This window comes from Homo sapiens, chromosome 11, assembly GCF_000001405.40.
Source record: "Homo sapiens chromosome 11, GRCh38.p14 Primary Assembly".
Taxonomy (NCBI): domain Eukaryota; kingdom Metazoa; phylum Chordata; class Mammalia; order Primates; family Hominidae; genus Homo; species Homo sapiens.
In genome coordinates this window covers 55,793,905-55,804,386 of record NC_000011.10, presented here as the reverse complement: position 1 = coordinate 55,804,386, position 10,482 = coordinate 55,793,905, and the positions used below count along the sequence as shown (strand labels likewise).

At 36.9% G+C, this 10,482-nt stretch overlaps 1 protein-coding gene across 1 annotated transcript; it reads right to left on the bottom strand.

The window, feature by feature from the left end:
* Positions 1-7,886: 7,886 nt before the first annotated feature.
* OR5D14 (olfactory receptor family 5 subfamily D member 14) lies at positions 7,887-8,831 on the bottom strand. The gene has a single exon (NM_001004735.1). The coding sequence runs from the start codon at positions 8,829-8,831 to the stop codon at positions 7,887-7,889; it is 945 nt and encodes a 314-aa protein (NP_001004735.1).
* Between the last annotated feature and the right edge of the window lie 1,651 nt (positions 8,832-10,482).

Sequence of the window (10,482 nt, the reverse complement as noted above, 5' to 3'; positions counted from 1 at the left end):
TGAGACGGAGTCTCGCTCTGTCGCCCAGGCCGGACTGCGGACTGCAGTGGCGCAATCTCGGCTCACTGCAAGCTCCGCTTCCCGGGTTCACGCCATTCTCCTGCCTCAGCCTCCCGAGTAGCTGGGACTACAGGCGCCCGCCACCGCGCCCGGCTAATTTTTTGTATTTTTAGTAGAGACGGGCTTTCACCTTGTTAGCCAGGATGGTCTCGATCTCCTGACCTCATGATCCACCCGCCTCGGCCTCCCAATATGTGTGATTATTTTAAATAGAAATTTACATAATACCTTAGGCCTTCCTTGAATATTGAAAATTCATAAAAGATAATCCTGGTATAATATGATGGCTGATTATGTAAATCCTGTAATCAGTAATACAAATCAGAATTTTCAAAATAAATTAGTTTTTACATCATATGTTCCCAGTGACATTAACTATTAATAGCCCTAACACTTAACATTTGTGCCTTTATTGTTAATTCCATATAGCGCTTTACTCTTTGTCCAACCTTGTAAAAATAACTTAGAAATACGTCTTAATTAATTTTTTAGAGTGTATGCTCCTTAACTCAGGGTGTGCTAATTAGCAATCTTTCCTCATTGCCTGAGAAATAATCAAATTAGAACAGATTATACAGATAATCTAGTTTATTCTTTATTCTGGAGGTGACAAAGGAGAAAAAAGAGAAACTTTGACCTTTCCATTGATACATGTATAAAGACCAATCTACCTATGCATGACTAGAGCTCTGATCCTCAGACTCCTAGCCATGTATCCCTTTACCTGCCCCCAAATCTGCCCCATGATCCAGATGTAGATACTAACATATTCCCTTCATTAATAACTATATTTCCATTAATAAGCAGTCTAGAGACTCTACATGTGTGAGAAAGAGCCCAACAATAGTTAATTGCCACAAAGATACACTAGAAAGCAGCATCAAGATAAAACACATGAGAATGGGATTGAGGAAAATCTTCTCACCGAGGAATAACTATAGGAAGACTATGACTTGCAAATTTCTCTTCTCTTCAAGATCCTCTCTGTCTTTCCCTATCTCCATCTCTATTTCTCTTCACTCCCTTCAAGACACACTGGATTTTAATTTTGTCCTTCTATTACCTATGAAGGAGAAGGACTAAAAACTAGAGGTACTACTGCAACATCAAGACCCTTAATGAGAAAACAGGAAACATTAATGGGAAAGGAAAGGAATAGGAAAGGAAATCATTAAATTTCTCTAATTAGTGTCCAACACCTCTCAGATCCTGTCATATCTGTATTTGCTTTCTCTATCATCAAAGACATTATCTCTATTCACAACACCCAAGAAAGTTTTAGACGGCCCATCAAGAAAGATTTCCAGTTACATGCAAGACCAAGTTACTCAATGGCCCTCTTTTCCTATACTAGTGAATTTGAGTATTAAAGACAATCTCAAAAGACAGTCCATCACAAACCCAGAAAATCTAATTAGGACATTTTTCCCAATACTGCATTTCACTCCTCTAAAGCATTTAAAATTTTATTTTAAACTAATGTTATATTTTACATAATGAGTTTTGTGTCACAAATGCAACTATTGAATAGTTATTAAAAGTTTAGATATTTGATTCCAGGAAATATGGCAGATGAAATCTCCTTTTCTGTCAATTCCCCCCACCCCTTCAAATTTAGCTGTTATTTTTGCTCTTAGGGGTGACATGCATTTCCTGTTATACAATCTTAATTAAAGCAGATCCCTTCCCTTGTTTTTTTCACTAGAGAGTCTGTTTCATTTCTATTTATTTCAATTTACATAACTACTTGTCTATTCTGTCTTGAAATTTCCTCCAAAACTTAACAGAAGCAAGGAAATACACATTCCTAATATTCTCAAAGTTCTTCTATTTCCCCATCCCAGGTACCAGTTTTACATGAGGCTGTTGTTCAGGAGCCAGGCCTTCTGATACAAAGTTGTGTGGAAAGAGAGTACTTCCTGTTTCTTGCATATTCACGCATAGTTTTCAAGAACTGTTTAGTTCTAAGGGTGCATTTTGCTCCTCCTAGATTTTTTTATGGATTGAAATTAATATCAATCTGTCTTTAGAATCTCAATGCAAACCTATTGATGGCAAAGGTAGGATGTTTCCAGGCTGAGAGTGATACATGCATTCTTATATCTACAGTTACACCTAGGAGACATGAACCCTAGAGACTACCTATTGTCCCAGTCTCCTGAGGTCACAAAAAGACAATTAAAATTAATCACAATTATCTGATGTAATTGCAATATACTACAAAACCTGCAAAAAATTATAAGAGCATTAGGAGCACTGCATATAAAAAAATTTATATTTAAAAGTCATCTTCCTCAGCCCTCTGATAACTCCCATATATTTCTATAATTATAAGAATATGTGTAATTTTAAGATAATTGTTATCAAATACTGATTGAGTGACTACTATTTGCCTTACATTATCCTTTTCTTCAATACTGCACACTGGGACCATATTGAAAAATATGAAGGTCTAGCTTTCAGGTTGTCCTGACTTATTTATAGTTAAAACAGAAATATTTACAAAGCAAACATTGAATTGGATAAATGATATAGTCCCTGTTAAATCTCTGTCTTATTCTTTAGTTCTTTTCCCTGCTGTCTTCTCCACCTATTCTGACTAGTGTCTCCTCTGCTTGGAATTCTTTTCCTTAGGTTTTGGTCAAATGTAAAGTTTTTAGATAAGCCTTCTGTGAACACACTATTATAATCTGAGAGTTCCCTTACTGCCAAACTTTATTGTTTAAAATACTTAACATGGTTAAAACATATTTTTAATCTTTACATATTGCATTTATATTATAGTACATCCTCACTTAACATCCTCAGTAGGTTTTTGGAAATTGTGACTTTAAGTGAAAAGATATACAATGAAACTATTTTTTTTCATCAATGGTCGAACAAAATGACATTATTTGAGGACAAACTATACATTGTTTCCTTAAAGTTACACTTTCCAAGAACCTATTGATGATGTTAAGTGAGACTTTACTATTTGTTTTTTGTTTCTTCCTACTAGAACAAAAGTTCCAGGAAAGCAGGGATTTTTCATTTTTTCTTCACTGATATGTTCCAAGCTCCCACATCAGTAATTAGCTCAAAGTGTATGTACCAGGAATAGGTATTGAATGATAAATATTCCCTTCTATATAACTGAGAATAGAGCCAAACCTACCAATGCTTTGGGAAATCAGAGCACAGAGAGAAGATCACACACACACACACACACACACACACACACACACACACACTGGAAGTTTTTAGAAAATGCGATGTTTTAATATAAATATATGCTATTGTCATCTTTTAATGGAGTGAAAGATATGTCACCCCAAAATATGCCAGATTGGTATATTGATTATTTTGAGTGAAAAACATTGAAGAACTTACAGTTTCAGAAAGGATGAACTGATCTGTCTCTTCCTGCATGCAGCCAGTGATGAAGTTTCCTCTGGGATAGGCATCCTCTCATCCCAGGGCTAGAATGTGGCCCTTATGACCATGGACTTGAACTTAGAGACTACAAGGGACCTGAATAAACATACCTAATGAAAAATCCTTATCTTCCACATGGTTTACAGCCACCTCATCTATGTCATAGTGATTCCCCTAGAAAACTTCACTCTCTTAGCCAGATTTTCTTTGTCCTGTCATTCTTCTAAAATTGATTGTTCTTTGTCTACAAAGTATAAAAGTATCTTGTTTAGGTTATTTTTCAGACATCACTGACATGTGAAGATCCCCAGGTATATGAGAAACTATAAAATTTGTATAATCATTAATTTTTTTATTGTAGGTTTCAAAGGTATGAGTGCAGGTTTGTTCCATAGGTACACTTGCCTCATGGGGGCTGGTTGTACAGATTATTTCATCAACCAGGCGTTAAGCCTAGGCATTAACAGATTATTTCATCACCCAGGCATTAAGCCTAGGCATTAACAGATTATTTCATCACCAAGGCATTAACCCATTCGTTGTTTTTCCTGCTCCTCTCCCTCTTCCCAACCTTCACCCTGCAAGGGCTGCAGTGTGTGCTGTTTCCCTCTATGTCTCCATGTATTCTCATCATTTAGTTCCAAGTTATAAGTGAGAGCATGTGGTATCTGGTTTTCTATTCCTGTCTTAGTTTGCTGAAAAGAATGACCTCCACCTGCATGTATGTCCCTGTAAAGACCATGATCTCATTCTTTTTTATGACTGCATAGTATTCTATGGTGCATATGTACCATATTTTGTTTATGCACTCTATCTTTGCTACGCATTTAGGTTGATTCTATGTCTGTGCTATGGTGAATAGTGCTGCAATGAACATATGCATGCATGTGTCTTTATAATAGAATGATTCGTATTCCTCTGGGCCAATACCCAGTAATGGAATTGATGGGTCAAATGGTATTTTTGTCTTTAGGTCTTTGAGGAATCGCCACCCTGTCTTCCACAGTGGCTGAAATAATTTACACTCCCACCAATAGTGTATAACCTTCCTTTTTCTCCATAACCTGGCCAGCATCTGTTATTTTTTGACTTGTTAATAGTAACTATCCTGACTGGTGTTAGGTGGCATCTCGTTGTGGTTTTGATTTGCATTTCTCTATTTAACAGTGATATTGAGCTTTGCAAAATTAACCTGTTTTCAATTTGGTTTCTAGTTGAAGAGCCCACTAAGAGCTAAGAGGGGTTCAGGGTGATCTCTGTATCCCCTACAGAAATTGGCCCCAACTTGGGGCCATCCTTTACTGGTTGGAACATTGCTCTCTCCAGAACTGCTGCAGCTGAGATCCTGGACCTCTGACAAAAGGACTTCAGAGGTCAGATTTCTATCTGTCAGCTTCCTGGATCTCTGTTGTAGGGGCTGTTTGAGAGGAGAGTGGTAAGACTCTGTCTTTTTCCCTCTCTAAATTGGAATTGGCAGGAGAAAACATTTGTGAACTAGTTGTTTCAGTAAAAAGTGACTTTTGGTGTTCTTGTGAATACTCTTGATTTCTACTTGATCCTTTTGATCTCAGAAATTGTCTTCCTTTATCTTTGTCTTTTTGTGTCATTTGTCCTAAGGAGAGGGACCATAAGGTAGCGCACACAGGTACAAGTCAGTCTGAAAAGATTGAGGAATGGAGGCACATGATTTTAAGCAGCACTGTCTTTGTCCAAACATGCCAACCTCTCACGGTGTTTGTCATCTCAACATTGTTCCCTGGATTTGTGCTCAAAACTCCCATCTCAGTGTTGCCTGCCCCAGTGTCACAGATTATCAGACCTATATTGAAGGTGTCTCACATTCAGTGAGAGACTAGAGATCTGTGAGTGAATTTTTGGAACATGGAGGCTGCACTTTCTGCACTCACTCCAGAAAGACCCCTTTTATCCCTAGTAAAGGTTTATTCTAAACCTAGGAAGTTACCTCTTGGTCTTTCCATAAAAAAGCTTGTTGGATTAAGTCACCATTGGACTATACACACCAGTGAAGATCCTAATTATCAATGGAAAAAAGGCAAATATTTGAATTAGAAAAACTTCTGTATTAAAAAATATTAGAGAACTCTCATTCTAAACAATTTGGATATTGGTACTTATGAAAAGATCAGATAGAAGGAATAACTCAGCAAAGTATAAAACTAGTCTTAAAATTTATCTTAACAAAATTAAATAACAAACAGCAGACCTAGAGGAAAAGTTGAAATCAGCTCCCACTGTAAGTCCCACTGCTCTACCCACTTACATCCCACTTGATAACCAGCTCTGTCCCTGACCAAGCAGAAAATCTACTGGATCTCTGGACCTCTGGTTTGAACACCTGGAAGCGGCATTTTTGTCCAATGATGCTGCAGGTTCCTCTCTGGTGAACCATCAGTGCTTCCAGAGCATGGTGATACTGAAGTAAAATGGAGGCAAAAAGGCCAAACAATCAACTTCTGATTAGAGTGTTTTGATTTTTTAACATTTATTTTGCGTTCAGGGGTACACGTGCAAGTTTGTTTTAAAGACAAATTGGTGTCACAGGAATTTGGTATATAGATTATTTTGTCACCCAGCTAAAAAGCATAATACCCGATAGGTAGTTTTTAATTCCTCGATTGTTTTTAATATTTGAACCAAGCACGCATGCCAAAACTTCACCTAACAAAATCACTGTTATATTTTTAATACTATTAAATGCCCAATCTGTGTTTAAATTACCCCAATTGTCTCAACGACATACTTTTCCAGTTAGTTTGGATCAAGAGTCAAATAGTTGTGGTTGTTATAGCCAGTTTACTTTGTTATATAACCATTCTTTGTGTGAGAGCCTGTGTGTGTGTGTGTGTGTGTGTGTGTGTATACCCACATGTTAGGTAATATTTTGCAAGGGAAAATAATAATTCAGCACTCTCTGTATTTTGCTTAGTGCTTTATTTTGTGTCATTTTATTTATTTCTGTACTAATTCTTTTTAACTAATGCTGAGACCAAGAATATTTATTAGCTTAGTTTCCTTCTTTTACTTTTTTTTAACAAAGCAAAAATTCTGGCTGGGTGTGGTGGCTCACGCCTGTAATCTCAGCAGTTTGGGAGGCCAAGGGGGGCAGATGACGAGGTCAGGAGATCAAGACCATCCTGGCCAACATGGTGAAACCCCGTCTCCACTAAATATACAAAAATTAGCCAGGCATGGTGGTGCACACCTGTAGTCCCAGCTACTCAGGAGGCTGAGACAGGAGAATCTCTTGAACGCAGGAGGTGGAGGTTGCTGTGAGCTGAGATCTTGCCACTGCACTCCAGCCTGGCAACAGAGTGAGACTGTCTCAAAAAAAAAAAAAAAGCAAAAATTCTTCATAGATGATTCTGACTACTGTACATTGCAGTCCATTGAGAAGCACATGGTAACTGGTTGATGATAACTGTTTGTCCAACTTTTAGTGATGATCATTCTGATCTCTGAATTCAGGTTGTGTCAACTTAGTTACTTCATCTTAAAATTATCCACAAACTTTTTGCCTAATGATTATTATGTCTGTTGAAATCATTACCTTTATTCATTTTTTAAATGTGGAGTTCTACAGTTGTGATTGTCCAATTTCATCCTTGTTTATGCTTTTATTTCTTCTGAAATTCACCTCATTAATCAGTAGGTGATGCTGACATACTATTCATATAGGAAAAATAGAATAAATATATATATTATTTAATTACTTATTTTCAGAGTAATGAATTGGTGCCCTAATATCCATTGATATTAAACAATGGCTTATTTATTTTTTTCTTTTTCAGTACCTAGATTTAAATCTATATGAGGACTTTAAATCAATTGTAATCAATATCCATTTTTATGTTTAAAAAGTTTTTTCTGACCATAAACCAGCATCAGCCATTTCAAATTGCTTCCTATATCTCTTTGAGACAATCTGATTAGCTGCTGATAGTATTCTATCTTTCTGGAGCATTAAATTGCCCAAAGCTCATCTTGCCTATTTTCCACCCTAGACTTCAAATTAGCCATTTCTCCAAGAAGCCCTAGTTTTGTTCCTAGGGGAAAGGTTTCTTTTTAGAGAAAATTTGGAGAATGTTGCTTGAATTTGTATAGTATTTGTTACCAAATATTTGTGTTTATTTAGTCATTCATATAAAAGTTAGAAATAATTTTGAAATATGGTTTCTCATTGTTTTCAGATTAAATGTTTATTTTCATTCATTTTGTATAAACTGGACTAAACTTGTAGAGATTTCTGAACCTGATAATACTGGGAATGCTATATCAATTCACATTTGACAATTCCATAAAAACCTCATATAAATATATGCTCTAGGCTTTAGAAACATTGTAGCCTCTGTTTGGGTTGTTCATTTGGATTGAAAACAACTTTTGAGACTGGTTCAGTGAAATGGAACTTGTGTATGTATTAACTTCCAGAAAGCATCCTTCACGTCTTTATTCCTTAGGCTGTAGATCAGAGGGTTCAGCATGGGGTTGACAACTGTGTAAAATACAGAGGCCACTTTGACTGTTTGCCGAGAGTTTTTGGAGTTGGGTACACAGTAAAGGAAAAGGATGGTCCCATGGAAGATGGTGATAGAAGTCAGGTGGGAGGCCCAGGTGGAGAAGGCTTTGTGGCGCCCACTAACAGAACGGATTTTTAGTACAGTCACAAAAATGAAAACATAGGAAGTGAGGATGATCAGTAGTGTACACATCTCATTGAAGGTGGCGAAGCTGAAAAGCAGCAGGTGGGGGATGAGTATATCAGAGCCAGACACAGAGATGAGAGCAGTATACTCACAAAAGAAGTGGTTGATTACATTAGGTCCAGAGAAGTTTAACCGGAGAGCATAACAAAGGAGTACCAAGGGGCCAAACATGCCCCAGAGATATGACCCAGCCACCAGCAGGGCACAGAGCCTCTGTGACATGGCCACTGTATAAAGCAGAGGATTGCAGATGGCCACAAAGCGGTCATAGGCCATCACTGCCAGCAAGAAAGACTCTGTCACCACAGCAGTGCAGGACAGGAAGTACTGCATCATGCAGCTAAAGTAGAAGATGCTTTTATCTGCCATTACCAAGTTCTCAAGCAGCTTGGGAGTGACAATGGAAGAGTAACAAAAATCAACAAAAGAGAGGTGACTAAGGAAAAAGTACATAGGAGTGTGAAATTTGGGGTTAATCTTGATTATTATGATCATCCCAAGGTTTCCTACCACTGTGATAACATACATGAGCAGAAACACAAGGAAGAGAGGAATCTGAAGCTTTGGGTAATCTGTGAAACCTAAAAGGGCAAAGGTGGGCTCCATGCTCAGATTCCTTAAAACCATCATCATAATTCCTTTTAATGGAAGGGTTGAAGAGAATTGTTCCTGCCAAAGCAAAATATGGGGTGAGTGATAATTATGTCATGACTTTCTTTGATTAAAAGGAAAAAAGGAGAAGGAATAGTTACTGGTCCTAGTTTTGTCCAAGAAGAACATACCTCATGCAGGCAGCTGTTATGTCTAAAACAAACCAAGCCAAGTCTTTGGAGTGTCTTTCCATTTTTATTACACTTTCTGTTTTCATACATATATATATGTGTGAATATATATGTGTATGTGTATGTGTGTGTATATGTGTACAGTAGTATACATGTCTACACATTAACTAGTAGCATGACATGCACATAACTTATAGAAAATGTTTATACATAAATATATAAACTAATAAAGATTCTGTGGAAAATGTAAAATATTTACATCAAACAACAACATGCATTGCTACTGTATTTGTTTATATAGACAAATTGATTAAAATATTCAGAATATATTTCTATTCTAAGGATAAAGGAAAATATTGTAGAAATCTGGAAAAAGAGCACACTAATTCCACTTTTTACCAACTTTTATTCTAGAAAGGCTACTTCTCTCATTGAATATCTTAGTTGCTGAGGAGTTGACAAGGACAATGGCCTACTTTTGACCTCTTGGTGGAATGGGCATTTTATTGGGGTTTATGACTTAAGGGTCAGCATCTACTATAGCTCAGGTATTGCATAAGTATCTTATAAGAGTCTCAAGATTTATCAGGTGAAAGTTCCCTTAAGCCTGACTAGTTTTCAATCTTATAAAAATTTACACACTAATTTAAGATGAATATAAAGGAAATATGGATAAATATCCATTTCCAAGTAGCAAGTTTATACTATTCATCATGAGATAATTTTCAATGGATATAAGGCTAAATATTTTCATGAGTGTTGACCTCATTTTTTAATATTATTGGGCACAGAATTGAATAACACAGTGATTTAACATTTAAAAAATCAAAGGCCCCATTTGCCGTATCAGGAAGACCCTATTTTCAGTTTCATAGAAAGCCTGAATACACTTACCTGCTACATACAAAGAAACAGGCTGCCACCCTCCTGTCTCTTCAGACAGTGTATACCTGAGGCACCAAGACTCTTTCATTTAACTTCATAGCCCTAGGGACTCAAACTCTGGAGAATCACTAACAACTTACTCTTTACAAGCATCAAAACAGGCAATTAAGGCAAATACCAAGTCTCTTGTGTCACATTTAGTGACTGGAATTTCCTTGAAACTACTCAGAAAAAAAAATGCAGCATGAAGTTAACTATCAAGCTTTGCTTGCATGTAATTCAAATTACAATAAAACTTTAAATACTTGCCTCATCTGTTCCAAAATTCAGTGCACCTCTTAGTGAGATATAATCTATCCTGCATGCATCCTGGGTATAAATATGCAGCAGCCAATAGCACTCCTATTCCTGAAAACACAAGTAAATTTCATAATCAAGTGCTACAGATGTCCGTGGCCCATACCTTGCTGTATTGCTTCTTCTTGCTCAGCCTGAATTTGTGTCTCATGGGGCATTCCCTATGGCAACCTGAATGTGGAAGAAAGCATAGGAGCCTCATTTTCAGATGATTCCCCATGATATGCTGGCCCACACAAAAGTGAATAACTGCAGGACTG